The sequence below is a fragment of the Homo sapiens genome, chromosome 13 (genome assembly GCF_000001405.40).
Source record: "Homo sapiens chromosome 13, GRCh38.p14 Primary Assembly".
In the NCBI taxonomy this organism is placed as follows: domain Eukaryota; kingdom Metazoa; phylum Chordata; class Mammalia; order Primates; family Hominidae; genus Homo; species Homo sapiens.
Genome location: NC_000013.11, coordinates 49,605,972 through 49,627,443, shown reverse-complemented (window position 1 = coordinate 49,627,443; position 21,472 = coordinate 49,605,972). Strand labels below are relative to the sequence as shown.

At 44.4% G+C, this 21,472-nt stretch overlaps 1 long non-coding RNA gene across 1 annotated transcript, besides 4 other annotated features; it reads left to right on the top strand.

The window, feature by feature from the left end:
- Positions 6,455 to 6,955: an enhancer, noted in NCBI's record as "H3K4me1 hESC enhancer chr13:50194625-50195125 (GRCh37/hg19 assembly coordinates)". NCBI's record gives its function as "activates a minimal SCP1, AML or CMV promoter by ChIP-STARR-seq in naive H9 embryonic stem cells {active_cell/tissue: H9 hESC(naive)}" and the evidence as "EXISTENCE:reporter gene assay evidence [ECO:0000049][PMID:30033119]".
- Positions 6,810 to 6,919: an enhancer, noted in NCBI's record as "active region_7751". NCBI's record gives its function as "activates an Ori minimal core promoter by ATAC-STARR-seq in GM12878 lymphoblastoid cells {active_cell/tissue: GM12878}" and the evidence as "EXISTENCE:reporter gene assay evidence [ECO:0000049][PMID:35858748]".
- Positions 6,956 to 7,456: an enhancer, noted in NCBI's record as "H3K4me1 hESC enhancer chr13:50194124-50194624 (GRCh37/hg19 assembly coordinates)". NCBI's record gives its function as "activates a minimal SCP1, AML or CMV promoter by ChIP-STARR-seq in naive H9 embryonic stem cells {active_cell/tissue: H9 hESC(naive)}" and the evidence as "EXISTENCE:reporter gene assay evidence [ECO:0000049][PMID:30033119]".
- Positions 6,999 to 11,212, top strand: LOC105370204 (uncharacterized). Its single transcript, XR_941962.3, has 3 exons — positions 6,999 to 7,764; positions 8,246 to 8,529; positions 10,762 to 11,212. It is a non-coding gene; the product is annotated as an uncharacterized LOC105370204 (long non-coding RNA).
- Positions 20,339 to 20,558: an enhancer, noted in NCBI's record as "active region_7750". NCBI's record gives its function as "activates an Ori minimal core promoter by ATAC-STARR-seq in GM12878 lymphoblastoid cells {active_cell/tissue: GM12878}" and the evidence as "EXISTENCE:reporter gene assay evidence [ECO:0000049][PMID:35858748]".

The window sequence follows — 21,472 nt, the reverse complement described above, 5'->3', positions numbered from 1 at the left end:
GTAAAAATGACACCTCTAGAAAATGTAATTTTTAAAAAATTGGCTAGTCGCCGGGCATGGGGGCTCATGCCTGTAATCCCAGCACTTTGGGAGGCCAAGGCAGGAGGATCGCTCAAGCTCAGGAGTTCAAGACCAGCCTGGCCAATATGGTGAAACCACGTCTCTACAAAAAATAATAAATTAACCAGGCATGGTGATGTGTGCCTGTAGTTCCAGGTACTTGGGAGATTGAGGCCCAAGAACTGCATGAGCCCAGGAGGTGGAGGCTGCAGTGAGCTGAGATCACAGCACTGCACTCCAGCCTAGAAGACAGAGTGAGACTCTGTCTCTCTCCTATTTTTTTTTTTTAATTGAGATGGAGTCTCGCTCTGGCGCCCAGGCTGGAGTGCAATGGCACAATCTCGGCTCACTGCAACCTCCGCCTCCTAGGTTCAAGCAATTCTCCCACCTCAGCCTCCCGAGTACCTGGGATTACAGGCACGTGCTACCATGCCTGGATAATTTTTTTATTTTCAGTAGAGACAGGGTTTTGCCATGTTGGCCAGGCTGGTCTCCAGCTTCTAATCTCGAGTGATCTGCCCGCCTCGGCCTCCCAAAGAGCTGGGATTACAGGTGTGAGCCACTGCACCCAGCCGAGACTCTGTCTCAAAAAAAAAAAGAAAAAAAGAAAAAAAATTGACTAGTCAGAAACCACTGATTCAGTAGGTATTGAATTTGGATATGGAGTCACAGTGATTTAGCTCTTATAACCAGTAATCTTTGTGCTGTTTTCTGCTTTCCCATGCATTATTTCATTAAAATATCAAGACTCAAGTTGGATGTTATGACTCTTCCATTTTACAAGAAAAGAAGCAGGCTCGGTTGGAAGGCCGAGGCGGGCAGATCACAAGGTCAAGAAATCGAGACCATCCTGGCCAACATGGTGAAACCCCATCTCTACTAAAAATACAAAAATTAGCTGGGCATGGTGGCGCACACTTGTAGTCCCAGCTACTCGGGTGGCTGAGGCAGGAGAATCGCTTGAACCCGGAAGGCGGAGGTTGCAGTGAGCTGAGATCGCGCCACTGCACTCCAGCCTGGTGACAGAGCAAGACTCTGTCTCAAAAAAAAAAAAAAAGAAGCAGGCTGGGACAGGGTGAATCATTGACTCATGATCTTGCTGCGTTTTATAATTCATCTCTTTCTCTTTTACCATGTCATGCTACTCACACAGAAAGTGCCTTGTAAATGGCAAACACCAGATTGTTGTTGTCATTGTTTTTGTTAAGCTACTGTATTTTAGCAGGAAGAACTGATTAGGAAAAGTCAGAAACTCAAAGTGTGTTATGTGCACCACTGTGTGAGGGTATTGATGCTGCTCTTGGTTTGCTCTTTTCAGTGCCTGTGGTCAGTGATCATCCTTTTTCAAGGCCAGGGGGTGTGTGGGGAGGAGACAGAAACAGATAGAGTGCTCCTGGGGGTGGAATTATCCCAGGGAAGTCTCAGAGCAATAAAGAATCGTCTGGTGGAGGGCTTGTCATTCTCGCCCAAACTGCAGCGGGATCGGCTCACGCTGGGACTAAGTCCTGTCCGGGCCCAGCTGCTGAGTCAGCAGGAATCCTGCAAGGGCCCGATTTGCAGGAAGATTGGGGCCGGACGAGGATGACAGCAGGCCAAGGTTGAGGGGCTCCTGGGGGTGGGGGAGCTGGGGTGCTGCTCTGACCCAGTTCCCAGAGCAGCACCAGGGCTAGGTTTGGGCCCCATGGAGGCAGGGAGGGAGCAGAAGCTGTAGAAGCATTAGCACAGTGGCTTGGAGGCACCATGCCAGGCTGCCTGGGTGACCTATGCCCTGGGTGACACAGAGAGAGAAGGGACACTCCCCTTGGCCTCTAGCCTGGAGCTTGGGGCCACATGGCCAGGCTGCAGGCTGCCTCTGGAGGTAGCTGCGTGGCACTGACCACAGAATCTGAGACAGGCACCGCCATCAAGGGGCCGGCTGGCAGTCAGGGGTGGATCTGTGAGCACTGCTGGGGGGCACAGGCTCCCCCAGACATCAAGGAGCCTTGCCTGAGGGCCAAAGTCTTGTGTTCGCTGGGAAACCATGATTACTTTGTGACCCCAGTTCTGCCCAAAGGCCCTTGTGGCCTGAGTTTCTCTGTACAGCCCCGACCCTGACCCCTTCAGCTCAACCAGCAGGGAAGCTTTTCATTAGACACCCCAACGTGGGGAGGCTCACGAGGGCTACTGCCCCGGGAGGCAGCGCAGAGCAGAAGGTAACAGTGTGGCTTTGATTTGGGTCCACCTGGGGGCACACTTGGCCTCCACTGCTTATTTGCTGTGAACCTCAACCTGAATTTCTCTGCACCTCAGTTTCCTTCTCTATAAAATGAGGTTGATGACGATAATAATGGTACCTAACTTGAAGGGTTATTGGAAGGATTTAATAAGTGAAGACACATCAAGTACTTAGCCCAAAGCCTGGCGTCTAGTCCCAGACTAGTTCTGTTAGAGAAGGACAGGAGAGCCCTCAAACGTAGTGGTGTGGCTGGAGAAAGTGACGCTGGTGAATGTGCAAGCCCCAGCACCTTTGTGTGTCTGTGACTGCAGCTTCCAGACCTGGAATAAGGAAAAGGGGCTACACGGGGCTCACTGATACCAGGAGAGACAAAGGTCTTAGGCCCCATCTCTACTGCCCTAAGAGTGTGAGTTTAGAAATGTCCTCCTGCCAACTCTCATACAGGTGGTCAGGCCTGGAGGAGCACGGCACGCCCATTGCACTCACCAAAAAATAACTTGTAAGCCAGGATGCTTCTTCTGATGTTTCTTATGGGATCTGTTTGACCCAAGAGCTGGGGCGGTTTTCTGTGCAGCACAGCTAAGGGAAGGCAGGGGGCCAGGGGCACGCAGAGGACACACACAGGGACTGAAGGAGTCAACTGTAGGGACGACATCCAAATGGGTTGCTGGAAGACCATGGAAAGTTGGTGGTTTTTAAGGGGTTGTTTATCATGCAACAGAGCCTCGTGGTCACTTTTCTGCTCTCTACAGATAGGTCCAAAGGAGGAGAGTGCTAGAACAAGAGCTTTATTCTCCTGGAAAGTGCTAGAGAAACATGGACGGAGTCTCTTGTCCAGCCCTCCTTTCCCTGGGCTCCATAACGGCCCCCACCTTTTTATCTTGTTGTGACCTCCTCTTGCTCTGGTCTCTCACTTTCTCAACTTGCAATATGCAAATTAATAACTTTTTTCCAGGGACTGCCTCTTTTAAAAATCAAATTCTATTTCTTTCTATTTTCAAGCCATCCATACAAAATTCTGAAGGTACAAAAGAGTAGAGCATCAAGGACGTTCTCCTTTCACCGCAGTGCTCCAGCCATGCCAGACCCTCCCTGGGAAACAGCTCACACCATTGGTTTCTTAGACATTTTTCCAGAGATATTCTACGCACATATAAGCAAGTAGGGTGCATTGGGGTTTTTTTCATGGTTTTCCTTTTTTTTTCCCTCAATAATCACTTACTTTGAGGAATGCAATTTCTTGTATAAATCTCTCAATCAGAAGTTCTCAGCCATGAGCTGTGTTGAGGATCAGTGGGAGACAAAGGGGAGGAGAGACAGCCAGGAACCCTAGGAACCATCCACCTTTCCTACCCACCACCAAGTCCCCAGTGAGTGATGTACAAGATGGGGCTGGGTGGGGTACAAGTTACCTTTGTGGGTACTGTGGTGAGAACCAATGCTCCAATCATGCTGAAGGTTGAATGAAATTCTCCGAGAAATTTCCTCCCTCTATGACCATCATGTATTAGGCAACCCATGGGGCCCTAAGCTATATATCTGAATTTGGGGTGGTTGCTACAGATGTAACATGTGTATCAGTGACTGTTTACAGGTACTTATGCCCATGATTCAGCTTTCCCCAGATGTGGAGAAAAGTGGACAGAGAGTACAAGGTCTACTCATATACAGGAAAGAGTAGTTCTCAATGACCACTCTTGGAGAGTTTGATTTGAGCATGTGCCTGACATTCAGTGAGTGGGGACTAGAGATGCTAGACATCCTATAACACCCAAGAATATTTTGTGCAAGAAAAAAATGTTTCTTAAATTTGAATTTCACTTTTGAATGTCCCAAACATTTATGTAGTAGTTTAAAGAAAAAAAACACCATTTAAAAAGTATCTGGGCTGGGCTCGGTGGCTCAAGCCTATAATCCCAGCACTTTGGGAGGCCAAGGCGGGTGGATCACGTGGTCAGGAGTTCAAGACCAGCCTCGCCAATATAGTGAAACCCCGTCTCTACTAAAAATACAAAAATTAGCCGGGCATAGTGGAGCGTGCCTGTAGTCCCAGCTACTTGGGAGGCTGAGGCAGGAGATTCACTTGAACCTGGGAGGCAGAGGTTGTGGTGAGCCAAGATTGTGCCACTGCACTCCAGGCTGGGAAACAGAGGGAGACTCCGTCTCAAAAATAAAATAAAATAAAATAAAATAAAATAAAATAAAATAAAATAAAATAAAATAAAAACTATCTGATCCTAGAACCTAATTTTGTTTTATATGTAACCGCAGACTATTTTCATGTGGTTTTCATATACACTACACTTTCCAGAAACACAACTACTGTATGCATTGAGGAAAGTTTGCACTTTGTTCTGTTTGGAGCTTTTCCAAGAGCTGCTCATTATTTTGGAAAATCACATCACTGACAGCAGCGCTTTGAATAACAGCGTGGCATTTAAGTTGCTGATAAGACGCACCAAAACGGCGATCCACTGCCATGGTGCTCATGTGGATTCTAAATTTAGATGCAAGAACGTGACAACTTCATTAATGTGATTGTCCTGAGCACTTATGTATGGGAACATGTATTATTTTATTTCAAATTACCTTCCGTTGGGTAGAGTGGCTCACATCTGTAATTTAAGCACTCTGGGAGGCTGAGGCAGGAGGATCACTTGCCCCGCCCAGACCCATACTGGACATCACTCATTGGGGACTTGCCGGTGGGTAGGGAAGGTGGGTAGTGCCAAGGGGTCCTCACTGTCTCTCCTCCCTTTCATCTCCCACTGATCCTCAACAAGGAGTTCAAGACCAGCCTGGGCAACATAGCAAGACCCAGTCTCTACAAAAAAGTTAAAAATTAGCTAGGCATAGTGGTGCACACCTCTAGTCCCAGCTACTCAGAAGGCTGAGGCAGGAGGATCATTTGAGCCCAGGAGTTCGAGGCTGCACCACTTGCACCACTGCACTTCAGCCTGGGCTATAGAGCAAGACTCTGTCTCTAAAAATAAATAAATAAATAAATAAATAAATACCTTCATTTATTTCTTACGTTATAGTTACAGCATTATACTGATTGTTTTTCAAGATTGTGTGGCTAGGTAGATGCTATTGTGTATTATTTTCATTTCTAGACTTTACAAATGAATATTGTAAAATATTTGTTACATTAAAAAAGAGGCCACTTGCTCTGTTTCAGGGCTTATCAGTAGAGGAGGACATAGCTGGGTAGAGGAAACTGAAGAGAAGGGACCAGAAGTGGTGGTGCCAGGTGGGATGACCAAGAAAGACCTTAAATCAGCAGTCATCCATGGTGACAGCCAGAGGGGCCAGCATCTTGCCTCTGAATCAGTGAGCTCCGTTGCTTCATGGTACATGTGGTCTCATTCCTACATGGCACCTGCTTCCGCCTGTGAACTATGGTCTGCCCTGGAGCACAACGTGGGCAGTGGTTGCATAGGGGGCAAAGGAGCTTGCATGAAAAAGTGTGAGTCCACCACCAGAAAGTACTCCAAATTCATAATAGGGTTGGGATTTTTATGGGTGAAGATCTTAATTAGTTATAGGACACAGTAGATAATGATTGCAAACACATTTTATTTATATCTATAACACATAGATATATTTATTAACTCTATTTTTTTTTTTTTTGAGACAGAGTCTCGCTCTGTTGCCCAGGCTGGAGTGCAGTGGCGTGATCTCGGCTCACTGCAAGCTCCACCTCCCGGGTTCACACCATTCTCCTGCCTCAGCCTCCCCAGCAGCTGGGACTACAGGTGCCCGCCACCGCGCCTGGCTAATTTTTGTATTTTTAGTAGAGACGGGGTTTCACCGTGTTAGCCAGGATGGTCTCGATCTCCTGACCTAGTGATCCACCAGCCTCGGTCTCCCAAAGTGGTGGGATTAAAGGCGTGAGCCACCGCGCCCAGCCAACTCTATTTTTATATGTTTTTTAAAATATACATTTTGGCCAGGCACGGTGGTTCATGCCTGTAATCTCAGCACTTTGGGAGGCCAGGGCAGGAGGATTGCTTGAGCCCAGGAGTTCAAGATCAGCTTGGGCAACATAGAGAGAACCCATGTCTACAACTATATAATTTAAAAATTAGTCGGGTGTGATGGCATGCAGCTGTAGTCCCAGCTACTCAGGAGGCTGAGGCAGGAGGATTACCTGCACCTGGGAGGTTGAGGCTGCAGTAAGCCATGATTGCGCCACTGCACTCCAGCCTAGATGACGGAGCAAGACCCTGTCTCAAAAAATAAATATATAATATAATATAATATAATATAATATAATATAATATAATATAATATAATATAATATTAGTATAGTATAGTATAGTATAATATAATATAATAATTTGTGATTTCTGTGTGTCCTTCCATGCTTTTCCTAGGTATTTGGTTTCAGTGGAATATTGCTGATCTGTAACCCTCCACAGAACTCCCTAGAACAGAAATCTGTCTGCCTCTGCTTTCCTAGGACGCTGACCACAAATAAAGCTTTCATGATAGAGAATGAATCCATAGGAAACATCCTGCAAGAAATATTTATTCAGCAAATGGCATGTGGAAGCTGTTTCCCTGTGTTCCTAAGTCCCAGGCTGCGAGCACCACTCGCCTCCCTCGCGGTGTCTGGACAGCGGGATGTCTTCCAGGTTCGTCTCCTCACTGTTGGCGCCGGGTCCTGGGTGTGGGCCTCCTGCCACGGACTCCTCCTCGGGGTGCAGCCACAGTGGGGATCCTTTGCATCTTTGCCGCCCCCAACGCCTCTGCACTTGGCTGCCTGGACTATTTTGGCCCCACCCAGCAGCCTTAGTGGAGAGAAAACAACGCACCTGCGTGCCACACGATGAGCACCGTTAGCTTCTCTCCTCTTCGTTCCGTTTTCTGGCCAGTTTCTTCAACAACCCGCAGCCCCCTTATTTCCTGTGTTCGCTGCACTTATTTAACAATCAGTGTGCCAAGTATAGCCCGCTTTAATTATAGCTGTGCTCCACGTGGTTGTAAGCAGAGCACACATACAATTTTGTATTCTGATTTTGTTTTCATTTAATTTATATTAAGAATTACATTGCCTTATTCCTACATAGTTTCTTTTTTTTTTTTTTTTTTGAGACGGAGTCTCGCTGTGTTGTCCAGGCTGGAGTGCAGTGGTGCAATCTAGGCTCACTGCAAACACTGCCTCCCGGGTTCATGCCATTCTCCTGCCTCAGCCTCCCGAGTCGCTGGGACTACAGCTACCATGCTCGGCTAATTTTTTGTATTTTTTTAGTAGAGGCAGGGTTTCACCGTGTTAGCCAGGATGGTCTCGATCTCCTGACCTCGTGATCCGCCCGCCTCGGCCTCCCAAAGTGCTGGGATTAGAAGCGTGAGCCACCGCGCCGGGCCACCCCTACATAGTTTCTAATAAACATTACTGTGTTGGCTTCATAATTATATTATATCAAGGGGATATATTATTATTTACTTCTAAAGGCTGCAAAAAAATCTGAATTAAAGATTTGGTGAGTAAAATTTCTCTCTTCATTTGGATTATTTCTATGGGCTAGATTGCCAGAGTTGGGACTTCTGGGACATAAGAAATGAACACTTGGCTGGGCGCGGTGGCTCATGCTTGTAATCCCAGCACTTTGGGAGGCTGAGGCGGGCAGATCACGAGGTCAGGAGTTCAAGACCAGCCTAGCCAACATGGTGAAACCCCGTCTCTACTAAAAATACAAAAAATTAGCTAGGTGCAGTGGCAGGCACCTGTAATCCCAGTTCCTGAGGAGGTTGAGGCAGGAGAATTGCTTGAACCCGGGAGGGGGAGGTTGCAGTGAGCTGAGATCATGCCACTGCATTCCAGCCTGGGCAACAGAGAGAGACTCCGTCCCAAAAAAATAAATAAATAAAAAATAAAGAACACTTTGTGGCTTGCTAAGATTATTCAATATGTTATTATGATTTTACATGCTTGCTTTTCATTTTTATTGTTTTCCTTTACAGACTGGACTCCCTACCTCCCCGGCCCAAAGCTCCCAGGCCCAAAGCTCCCATGCCTGAGCTCCTCAGCACTTGGAGAAGAGGTGGCAGCGGGGCAAACTGTCTCCAGACCACCACTGTAGGGAGAAGCAACCCGATGCCATGACACTGGCGGAGTGGAGAAAACATTCCCACCACTGAGGATTTTGCTATGAGGGTTATCATGATTATGATATGACTAGCTACGATTTACTGAGTTCCTTTATGTTAGGCATTGTATTATACCATTTCCTCCTACGACCTGCTGGGTAAGTAGTGTTATCGCCATTTTCTAAAGGAAAAAACTGAGGCTCAGAGAGGTAACTATGCTTTCAGCTGCAAGTTATAAAACACCCACTGCAAGTGGCTGAAACAATGAGATTGTCTTATTCTCTCTCATGACAATACATCTGGAAGGAGGTCATTCCAGGTCAGTTTCGCAGCTCAAGTGTCATCAAAGAGCCGGTCTCTTTCCATGTTTCTGCTTCAGCACTGTCAACTTAGGTGTGATGACTCCCCAGCAATGTTGTGCAGCAACATCAAATATCTTATTCTCACAAAACTGAATTGAAAGGCAGGAAGAGGCCAGGTGCAGTGGCTCAGGCCTGTAATCCCAACACTTTGGGAGGCCAAAGTGGGTGGATCACTTGAGGTCAGGAGTTCGAGACCAGCCTGGCCAACATGGTGAAACCACGTCTCTAGTGAAAATACAAAAAAATCAACTGGCCATGGTGGTATACACCGGTAATCCCAGCTACTTGGGAGGCTAAGGCAGGAGAATTACTTGAACCCGGGAGGCAGAGGTTGCAGTAAGCCAAGATTGCACCATTGCTCTCCAGCCTGGGCAACAAAAGCAAAACTCCATCTCAAAGAAAAAAAAAAGGCAGGAAGAAAGGGAAAGGTGTAAGTGTTTTTGGCTGCTTGTGTGCATGTGTGTGCATTTGTGTAATAAAAAATGAAATGTTTTCCTAAAGCCTACCAGCCAATTTCTCCATACATCTTCCTGACCAGGAGAATAAAATTACTTGGCTTGGCCAGGCTGGGTCTACCTTCTCTGAGCGCATTGCCCCCACCCTGTCTGCCCCCACTCCATGCTATCTGAATAAAATTATGCTACTTGTAGCAAGAAGAAAGTGGGAAAGGTGTTGGGTGAGTGAAAACGTCTGTCACACTTCCTTCCCAGACATTCCATAGCAGAAGATTCTCTTTTCAGAAGACAATGCTGTCTTCCAAGATCTTTGTCTCAGTATCTGTTAACAGTATGTGTGTGCGTCTCTGTGTGTGCACATGCGTGTGGTTGTGTCTTGGGTGCTCATAGTTTTGTTACTGGTGTAGCATATTCAAGTCAGAAATAAGGAAATCAGAAGGAATGCTGCAGTAGTCATTCTCGGCTGCTATCTTGCACATGGGACAGGGCAAGACAGTGTGAGGCTCCACATAAATTAGGAAGAATGCAGGCTGAAGATTTAGATCTGGATTCTAGCCCCCAGCTCTGCTACTTTCCATCTGTGTTGCCTGGGTTAAGTTATTTAATCTTTTTGTTATTATTAATTAGATATAGGGTCGGGCTCTGTTGCCCAGGCTGGAGTACAGTGGTGCAATCATAGCTCACTGCAGGCTCAAATTCCTGGGCTCAAACAGTCCTCCTGCCTCAGCCTCCCAAGTAGCTAGGGCTAGGGCTACAGGCACATGCCACCACACCTGGCTAATTAAAATTTTTTTTTTGTAGAGATTGGGGTGGGGGGGTCTGTCTGTTTTGCTCAGGCTGGTCTTGAACTCCTGGCTTCAAACAATCCTCCTGCCTTGGCCTCCCAGAGGGCTGGGATTACAGACATTTGCCACTGTGCTTGGCCATTACTTAGACTTTCTAAGCCTCAATTTTCTAATCTGTAAAGCAAGAAGTTTGCACTAGGTGATGTCTAAAGCTCTAATATTCTATAATACATATATATATTTTTTGAGATGGAGTCTCACTCTGTCACCCAGGCTGGAGTGCAGTGGCATGATCTCGGCTCACTGCAGCCCTCTGCCTCCCAAACTCAGTCTCCTGCCTCCCAAGCTCAGCCTCCTGCCTCCCAAGCTCAGCCTCCTGCCTCAGCCTTCCGGGTAGCTGGAACTATAGGCATGTGCCACCACGCCCAGCTAATTTTTGTATTTTTAGTAGAGATAGTGTTTCACCATGTTGGCCAGGCCGGTCTCGAACTCCTGGCCTCAAGTGATCTGCCTGCCAGCCTCTCAAAGGGTTGGGATTACAGGCATGAGTGCCCAGCCAGTCTATCACATTATTAAACCCAAAAAACCCTGCTCAAATGCATCTGCATGCCATATGAATGAGGGAGGTCAACATTTTTTCTTGTATAAGAGGAATAAAACATACTATAACAATTAGATACAGAATGTAATGTAAGCAAATTATGGGCTCTTTTGAAATGTCTTTATTTTCATTACAAACTGTCCTTTGAATGATTATGCATTAAGTGGCTTGTGTTTTACATTTACAGCACAGCTCATCTTTCAGAATTTTCCTGCTATTTCTGTTTTCTATTTTATTGGCAATGCGTTTCTTTATAACTGAGTGAAGAATGTGGCAAGGCTGGGGAAAATGTTTCTGCCTGTCTCTTTTTGCTCTCTCTCCCCCTCTGAACAGAAATAGTATCGTGGCAGTGCCTCTCTTTGTCTGTTAGGAAAAAAAAAAAAGCCAGGAAAAGGAAATAACAGTGGGTGATCTACTTTCCGAACAGCGTGAGAAAGATCCAGAGAATGTTAGTTTTGCACTGAAGCCGCTTCAACTTCTACTTTTCCAATATTACAGGAAGTTTCCTAGCATTGAGAGGAAAAAGAAACAGTGGCCAGATACTTTCTCCTAAAAATATACAGGAAGGACAATGTGGAGGCCAAGACTAATCTGGGTGATGAGCTCCAGGCCTGCCTCAAAACAGGAGCTGATGGGAGTGAGTTTCTGATCTTCTTCCAAGGTTGTTTCAATATCCAAAGTAGGTCCTCCATGGCAGCTGCTATTCAATCAGCCACATTTCCTGAACTGGATATTTTTACTTTGCAGGAAAAAGAAAAACAAACCAAAAAAACCTAACTTGATTAGGAAGGAGGTTGGAAGGTCACTTCATAGTTAGAAACTAAGATTAGTGCTTGTGACTTGGCTGGATTTCCCAGATGACTTACCATTACCCTGTGCATCAATGAGCAAAGTATTTATTTTGCATGAAGGGGAAGGGAGAAACTTCATCAGCACAGGATCCAGGCCCCACAGCCACGACCAGCTAAGGATTCTCCCTTCAACCCGCAAGACGTATTCTGATTTGCTCACTCATGAGACTGGAGCTGTGTCTTGAAGTAGATCGCGCACAGTAGTTCATTCCCAAGGCCATATTCCTGCTGGACGATAGAGCTGGGCCTGCACTAAAGGTCTGTCAATATTGCCCCAATATGCTGAGGCCTATCCTTCCTAAGATATGGCTTTGTCCACGGTCCTCCCCAGAAGGGGCTCTTGTAAGGCTCCCAAGGGAGTGAAATTCAGACTCTGACCCAGAGACTCTCTTCACCTCATCATCTTCTCCTGGGAGTCTTCATCCAATAGTGGCAATGTCATTCTTCCCTTCTAGAAAGAGTTGTGCTGGCTGGGTGTGGTGGCTCACACCTGTAATCGCAGCACTTTAGGAGGCCAAGGTGGGCAGATCACTTGAGGTCAGGTGTTCGAGACCAGCCTGGGCAACATAGTGAAACACCAACTGTACTAAAAATACAAAAATTAGTTGGGCGTGGTGGCAGGCGCCTGTAATCCCAGCTACTCAGGAGGCTGAGGTAGGAGAATCACTTGAACCCGGGAGGCGGGGGTTGCAGTGACCTGAGATCGTGCCACTGTACTCCAGCCTAGGCAACAGAGCAAGACTACATCTCAAAATAAATAAATAAATAAATAAAAATAGAGTTGTGCTTGCTTCTTTCTTAGCTTTTGTATTGATCCCTTTTCACATATATAAAAGTAGTTCTTGACAAAATGATATAATATTTAGAAGTGAAAAGAAAAAAACTAAGCTGGTTGGTGTGGTGACTTATGTCTATAGTCTCGGCACTTTGGGAGCCTGAGGCAGGAGGATCGCTTAAGGCCAGAAGTTTGAGACCAATCCTGGTGACTTAGCAAGACTCTGTGTCTATTTATTAAAAAAACAAAAACAACAAAACTAGTCTGAGGCAAGGCACTTAATCTTATGTAGCCTCAGTTTCCACATCTATAAATGGGGACAAAAAAATTACCTCTCAGAGGTGTTGGGAGGAGTAAATAAATTAATGTAGATATAATGTATAATGTGCTTAATCAGTAATAGCTTTTTTGCTCTGTCACCCAGGCTGGTGTACAGTGGCATGATCAAGCTCACTGCAACCTCTGCCTCCTGGGTTCAAGCAATTCTCCTGCCTCAGCGTCCTGAGTAGCTGGGACTACAGGTATGCTCCACCACACGGGGCTAATTTTTGTATTTTTAGTACAGTTGGGGTTTCACCATGTTGCCCAGGCTGGTCTCGAACTTCTGACCTCAGGTGATCCACCATCCTCGGCCTCCCAAAGTGCTGGGATTATAGATGTGAGCCATCACACCTGGCCTCCACTCCATTTTTAATGTTCTCTTTTTCTGGAACTCCTATTATTTGATTGTTGCATTCTGCTTAGTCTCTAATTTTAAAAATATTTTCTTTCCTTTCTTACACCTTTGCCTTTTCACTCTACTTTCTGGATTTCTTCAACATTATCTTCCAATCCTTCCATCACAATATTTACTTCTGCTGTTATATTTTAAATGTCCAAGGGCTCATTTTTGTTCTCCTGGGTTCAAGTGATTTTCCGGCCTCAGCCTCCTGAGTAGCTGGGATTATAGGCACGTGCTACCACATCTGGCTAATTTTTGCATTTTTGGTAGAGACAGTGTTTCACTGTGTTGGCCAGGCTGGTCTCGAACTCTTAACCTCGTGATCTGCCCACCTCGGCCTCCCAAAGTGCTGGGATTACAAGTGCGAGCCACTGCACTTGGCATATTCAGCTTTAAAAAAGAAGAAAACCCAGGGCTGGGCGTGGTGGCTTATGCTTGTAATCCCAGCACTTTGGGAGGCCGAGGCTGGTGGATCACCTGAGGTCAGGAGTTCGAGACCAGCCTAATATGGTGAAACCCCGTCTCTCCTAAAAGCACAAAAATTAGCCAGGCGTGGTGGCGCATGCCTATAATCCCAGCTACTTGGGAGGCTGAGACACTCCAGCTTGGGTGACAGAGCAAGACTCCATCTAAAAAAAAAAAAAAAAAGAAGGAAACCCTATCATTTGTGATAACATGAATGGACTTGGAAGACATTATACTAAGTGAAGTAAGTCTGTCACGGAAGAACAAATACTACATCATTCCCCTTATGTGAGACATTGAAAATAGTTGAAGGTGTAGAAGTAGACAACAGAATGGTGGTTACCAGAGGATCGGGGGAGAGGGACATGGGAAGTACTTTAAAAGTATAAAGTTACATTTATTCAAGCTGAGTAAGTCCACATATCTGCTGTACACATATTGCCTATAGTTAACAATAAGATACTGCATACTTAGGATTGTGTTAAAAGGGTGGATCTCAAATTTAGTGTTCTTACCACAGAAAAACAAAAAACATAAACAAAGGGACACAAGGAAACTTTTGGAGGTGATGAAGTGATGGATATATTTATTACCTGGATTGTGGTTATGGTAACATGAGTGGATATATATGTCCAAACTCACCAAATTGTATACATGAATCATGTACAGTTTATACCTCAGTAAAGCTGGAGAAAAGCTGACAAGGAGGATATTATAGAAAACTTTATGCCGATATAACAAACAACTTAGATGAATTTAATAAGCATTATTTATTAAATGAGCTATCTTTTTTTCTGGCTTGAAGTATCGCTGTTATTGTACACTAAATTCATATATTTATATGTATGTGTGGGTTTAGATGTTTCTGCCTTCTATATTCCATTCCACAATTCTATCTGTGGATCTTTTGCTAATATCACATTAGTTTAATGAATATCTTTAATGTTATTGTATTTGATAGGAAAAGTCTCCTGCCCTCTATATTTTACCTACAAAATCTTGTGGTCATTTTAATGTACTTTTTTTTTTTTGAGACAGTCTCACTCTGTTGCCCAGGCTGGAGTGCAGTGGCACAATCTCGGCTCACTGCAAGCTCCACCTCCCAGGTTCAAGTGATTCTCCTGCCTTAGCCTCCCTAGTAGCTGGGATTACAGGTGTACACCATCACACTGAGCTAATTTTTGTATTTTTAGTAGAGATGGAGTTTTGCCATGTTGGCCAGGCTGGTCTCAAGCTCCTGACCTTAGGTGATCCTCCACCTTGGCCTCCCAAAGTGCTGGGATTACAGGCGTGAGCCACCACACCCAGTCTGTACTCTCTTTTTCATATGAACATTAAGATCATGTTTTCAAATTTCATTAAACACTTTGGTGGAAAAATAATGTTGGAATTGTAATTGGGGTAGCTTTTAATAGATTGATTTGTGGAGAATTGACATCATTACACAATTGAGACTTCTCATCTAGAAATATGTGTTGCCTTTCCATTTATGCAAGTCTTCCTTTGTATTCTTCATGGAACTTTCAGCTATTATACTTTTCAGCTTGAGAATTTCTACTTGATTCATTTTTAGAATTTTCATTTCTCTATTAACATTTCCTACATGTTCACTCAGTAATGCCATACTTTCCTTATGTTCTTTAAACATGTGCCTTACTAACTCTTGAACATATTTACAATAGCTGCTCTGAAGTCTTTGTCTGTTGAATCCAACATTTGAGCCCACTATGATTCAGTTGCTATGGACTGATTTTGTTTTTCCTGAGAGTAGTAACACTTTCCTGATTCTTTGCATGTCTAGTAATTTTTGGTTTAAAACTGGACATTGTAGGCTGGGTGCAGTGGCTCATGCCTGTAATCCCAGCACTTTGGGAAGGCCGAGGCAGGTGAATCATGAGGTCAGGAGATCAAGACCATCCTGGCTAACAAGGTAAAACCCCGTCTCTACTAAAAAAATACAAAAAATTAGCCGGGCACCTGTAGTCCCAGCTACCTGGGAGACTGAGGCAGGAGAATGCCGTGAACCCAGGAGGCGGAGCTTGCAGTGAGCCGAGATCACGCCACTGCACACCAGCCTGGGCGACAGAACGAGACTCCGTCTCAAAAAAAAAAAACAAGAAAACAAAAAACAAAAAACACTGGACATTGTAGTAATGTTATACCCACTCAAGATTCTGTTTTGTTCTTCTGAGGGTTGTTGCCATATTGTTCTAGTAGGCAGTTAACCTGCCTGCATTTAAACTGAAAAATCTGTCCCCAGCAATTTATAGTAGTTGATGTATTCTTCTGCACAGTTTTCTCAGGATCCAGTTGCTTCTTTTTTGGCCTAGTGCCTGGGAGTCTTTCCTGAGCCTGTGTAGTTTAGGGTCAGCCACAGATTTGGAAAGAATTTATATTCAGGTATTGAAGCTTACCTACTGTACAGCTCCCTTGCTTTCTTCCTAAATATCCAGTTGCTCTGCCAGCCCCAAGTTCTGCCCAGTGGCACCTCAAGCCAATAAGGTTTTTGCTTTCTGCAAGACCTGAGCTTTGTGCATGTTAAGTCAACAGTGCAGCAAACTCACAAACCTCACCAGGAGCAGTTCTGTCTCACAAGGGTAGATGCCTCTCTAGTCTCTGCTTGCTTTTTCACTGGGCTGCCTGGGGTCTCTTGTGTGTCTCAGCAGTTTAGCAGGCAGGCAGGGATTTGAGCGGAGCTTATACTCAGCTTTTCAATTCAGTCCTTCTGTGGCTCTGGCTCTCATTTTTACAGGATTCCCCCCTTGAATATCCAGTTGTCTGCTGCCTTAAACTTTATTCTCTGACACCTCAAGCTGGTATGGCTGTGGTTTTCTGCCACTAGAGCTGGAGGGTGTTGGGGAGTGACCCCCTGCTTAGGGGTCACAAACTCTTAGTTTTTACCTGATGCAGTATCCGTCATTCAAGAGTAAACCCTTCTCAAGAGTCATCTAACAAAAACACCAACAAATAGTTGTTTTTAAGAAATTTGTCCAGTTTTTATAATCATTATCTATGGAAGAAATTGCCCAATGTCTTCTATGATACTATTCCTAGAAATTCTGCCCTTTAGTGAACTTTAGACATTTTCTCCATATAGCCTTTATGTATTTTTAAACTTTATTACTAAGTATTTTAGGGTTTTTACTGTTATTGGTAATGGCGCTTTTGTCTAAATACATTTTCTAATTAGTTATTAATTTTTATATGTCTTTCCTATATTAAATTAAACTTATACTGAACTCTTCTTTGTTCTAATTGTTTTTTTAGTGGATTCTCTTGACTTGTCTATGGAGACAATCATTGTCTGCAAACGATGGTCGTGTTTAATTCCTTCCAACATTAGGCCTCCCGTTTCATTTACTTATTGGTCCATAAGTTCTAGTTGAATATTAAATAACAGCAGTGACAGAGGGCATACTTTCCTAATCCTTGTCTGTTTTTGTTACTATTGCTGTGAAGCAAATTACCTCAAAATTTAGTGGCTTAAAACAATTATTTTGTTTTGCTTATGATTTTGAGGGTCAGGATTTCAAGAAGGGCTAGATCACATTGTTCTCACTTAGGGTATCTCAAGCAGCTGCAGTCAGATGTCAGCTGGGGATGAAGTCACCTGACGGTTCACCTAGGCTGGATGTCCAGAATGGCTCACTCACATGGCTGACAGTTGATGCTGCTGTCAGCTGGGGGCTCAGTGAGACTAGCAACTGGAGTGCTTACAGATGGCCTCTACATGTTAGTTGGCCTCTTTCCAACATGGCATTCTCAGGGTAGTCAGACCACTTATGTGGAGGCTCAGGGATCTGAGACCAAGTATTCCAGTGAACAAGTAGGAATCTGTGTCACCTTTTCTGACCTAGCCTGAGAAGCCACACTTCTCAGTGTGTACCACTTATTCTGCATTTTATTGTTTGCAAGCAAATCGTTAAGTCTATCCGAATTCAAAGGGAGGGTACAAAGATGCCACCTCTCAATGGGTGGGGTGCCAAAGAATTTGTGACCATATTTTGTAAAAATCCATACATCACTTCAGTGGTGATGTTTCTAATGTTTTACCATTAAATGTAATATTTTCTCTAGGTTCTTGACAGATATCCTTTATAAGTTTGAGGACCCCTTAAATTCAATTATGAGCACATACAAAGAAACAGCAGTTGCCATTTGTTTTTCCTCATATACAAAGGAATATAATTCATGGAGAAGACTTGGGGAAAATTTATATTGTAAGATTTGTGAAATCTGGCTACATAGGTAAAGGTTAGTATACAATAGCAAATAATATTTAAGGATGTTATATTTTAGTCTGGAATATTTTAGAACATAAGTGGGATATTATTTTTTATCAATTGTAATTCAGTTAATATTTAGCAATAACTTGGCCAGGCACAGTGACTCACACCTGTAATCCCAGCACTCTGGGAAGCCAAGACAGGAGAATTGCTTGAAGCCAGGAGTTTGAGACCAGCCTGGGCAACATAGTGAGATCCTGTCTCTACAAAAACAATTTTTTTTTTAGTCAGGCATGGTGGCACACACCTGTAGTCCCAGGTAGGCTGTAGTCTCAGCTAGGCTGAGGTGGGAGGATCACTTGAACCCAGGAGGTAGAGGCCACCATGAGCTATGATCATGCGAGCAAGACCTTGCCTCTTAAAAAAAAAAAAGCAATATCCATCACATATTGCAAAGAGATGATTAGAGAAAAGAATGTAAGAAATTTCTTACAGAAACAATACATTTATTTTATATGGAAAGGAACCATTTTTCCTTTAAATAGGGAATCTAGACAATATTCATCTAAATAGCACATTTAATTTCACTAAAACCTCAGATCCCACTATAGAATCCTGCTGAGCTAGTTTAGATTAGACCATATGGTGAGCTCTTTAAGAAAAAGGAAGTGATCTCTTTCCTAAGCCCATACATACTACTTCAATGATAAGGAAGGCTGATTTGTAACACATAGGCCAAAGAGAAGAATGAACAAGAACCAGAGATGTGTCCCAGTCTCTAGAGCTGGGCTGAGTCAGGCCATCTGCACCTGACCTTTCTAGAACAAGGAGTGATGAGGCTTCTAGGGAAGCTATCACTGGGCCCATCATATCTGGTTACATGGTGATCAGAATGGAGATGATAAATGCTCTAAATGGAAGGCACAGCATGTCCTAAAAGATGAAAGGTTTACATAATATAGGCTTATTCATATACTTTTGGCCCCTGGGAACCACAGCCTTGGGACATATATACCCATGCTTGCGAAAATGTGGAAGCTGGGGAGGTGAGAAGGTAGTGAAAAAGCTGGAGTGTGAAGAAGTTTGGGTTTCCATAGACACCCCCTCTTTTCAAACCTTTTTTCAATTTAACCACAGTCACTGGATTAAATGAATCAATTTAGTTAGGTGGAAATAACAAGTTTATATATCAGTGTAAAAAAGGAACATAAAGAAAAGGATGATGTGGGTTTTTTTTTTCACCCTCAAGTAAATACAATTTTTCCCTTTTAATTGCTTTCTACAGTGAAATCAGGTGAGTTATAGTTGACATTTTATGTGTAATAGATATTTCAGAGTTTGCAGTGGTAGAAAAAGAAAGAAGTAGTAATAGGACCAAAGAAAAAAAGGAACATTTAATAACTGTATCAGAATGTGAGTACTGCTGCCTCCACCCACCAATCATTAGAAGCAAGTGTTAGAAGCAGCAGCTATACCAAGGCCAGGCACAGTGGCTTATGCCTGTAATCCCAGCTCTTTGGGAGGCTGAGGTGGGCAGATCTCTTGAGGCCAAGAGTTCGACACCAACCTGGCCAACATGGTAAAACCCCTCTATTAAAAATACAAAATTAGCCAGGTGTGGTGGCACGCACCTGTAATCTCAGCTACTCGGGAGGGTGAGGCAGGAGAATTGCTTGAACCTGGGAGGTGGTCAGGAGGCTGAGGTGGGAGAATTGCTTGAACCCAGGAGGTGGAGGTTGCAGTGAGCTGAGATTGCACCACTGCACTCCTGGCTGGGCAACAGAGTGAGACTTCGTCTTAAAAAATAAATGAATAAATACATAAAAATAGACGCAGCAGCAATACCAGACTTCCTCTTAGCCACCTGCTAGACCTATAGTCTTGCAAACAACTTCCGATGTCATTCCTGTCTTGATAAATGTAGAGAGAGTTCTGGGAAACGTCAGCCTGGCATGCTAGAACATAGTGAGCTTATACGGTGTTAAAACTCTAGGAAACTGTTAAGTTCTGACTCTCCTTCCATGAGGGTTTTTCATCCATTTTTGGCAGTCCTTCACACTACCTGTTTCCATTCCAAGGAATTCTGCCTCTTATTTTTTTATTTTTTATAGCGACAAGGTCTCACCCTGTTGCCCAGGCTGGTCTCAAATTCCTGGGCTCAAGCAATCCTCCCACCTCAGCTTCCCAAAGCACTGTGATTACAGGCATGACCCACCACACCTGGCCGGAATTCTGCCTTCTAATCTGGCTCATTGACCAACTTTTGAGTGAACTGAGATAAATCCTACAAATTGCTGAGTTTGTTTCCATGTTTGTGATGCACTGAAGTAGTCCTCTTGTGAATGTGCCTGGATCATATTATAAATGTTGTGGTCACTCCTGTAGCCAGTTTGGAAATATTGCAATAATTTCAGAATTGAAGAAATGTATCTTGAAATTAAAAACTACTTAAACCTATAGAATACACCTGGGTATTAATTTCTTATTAGACAGCATTAAATCTAGATTGGTTAGTAAGTGAACCAGAGGCAACCAAGTAAATGAGAATGAACCTTTAACTGATGCTAGGTTTGGGCCCGCGCCACATGGTGGCAGGCTTGCTCTGTGAAGTACTTCCTCTTCAGGACCAACAAACAATAGTGTTCCTAAACGCCATAAAGCTTTCCTCCAAGCCGTGACTCAGGGACCAAGGCTCCTTTCATTCTGTGGCCCCGCCATCTTCAACAAGCGGTTTCCAGGGTCTTTGCAGAAGGAGAAAGAACAAGAAGGACCACCGTGGGAGATCTGTGTGTGATCCCAGGAAAACAAACTTCATCAAGAAACAAGTTTCTGCTTTTCTTTTCTTTTCTTTTTTTTTTGACAGAGTCTCTGTAGCCCAGGCTGGAGTGCAGTGGTGCGATATCGGCTCACTACAACCTCCATCTCCCGGGCTCAAGCAATTCTTGTGCCTCAGCCTCCCGAGCAGCTGGGATTACAGGCATGCACCACCAAACCCAGCTAATTTTTGTATTTTAACTAAAGATGGGTTTTCGCCATGTTAGCCAGGCTGGTCTCGAACTCCTGACTTCAGGCGATCTGCCCTCCTCAGCCTCCCAAAATGCTGGGATTACAGGTGTGAGCCACTGCGCCCTTCAAGAAACAAGTTTTAATGCTAGTATTTAACTACATTAAATCACATTAAACTACATGGTTTAGGAAATTAATTTTTAGAAAGAATAACATAAGTTATTAAGTTGTGAAGATTGTATTTTCTTTTTTTTATTTTTATTTTTATTTTTGAGACAGAGTCTTGCTCTGTCCCCCAGGCTGGAGTGCAGTGGTGTGATCTTGGCTCACTGAAGCCTCTACCTCCTGGTTTCAAGTGATTTTCCTGTCTCAGCCTCCCGAATAGCTGGGATTACAGGCGCCCACCACCATGCCTGGCTAATTTTTTTTTTTGAGACGGAGTTTCACTCTTGTTGCCCAGGCTGGAGTGCAATGGCATGATCTTGGCTCACTGCAACCTCCGCCTCCCAGGTTCAAGTGATTCTCCTGCCTCAGCCTCCCAAGTAGCCGGGATTACAGGCATGTGCCACCACACCTGGCTAATTTTTTTTTTGTATTTTTAGTAGAGACGGGGTTTCTCCATGTTGGCCAGGCTGGTCTTGAACTCCTGACCTCAGGTGATCCACCCGCCTTGACCTTCCAAAGTGCTGGGATTACAGGTGTGAGCCACCGTGCCTGGCCTAATTTTTGTATTTTTAGTAGAGACGGGGTTTCACCATATTGGCCAGGCTGGTCTTGAACTCCTGACCTCAAGTGGTCCGCCCACCTCGGCCTCTCAAAGTGCTGGGATTACAGGCCCACTGCGCTCGGCCAAG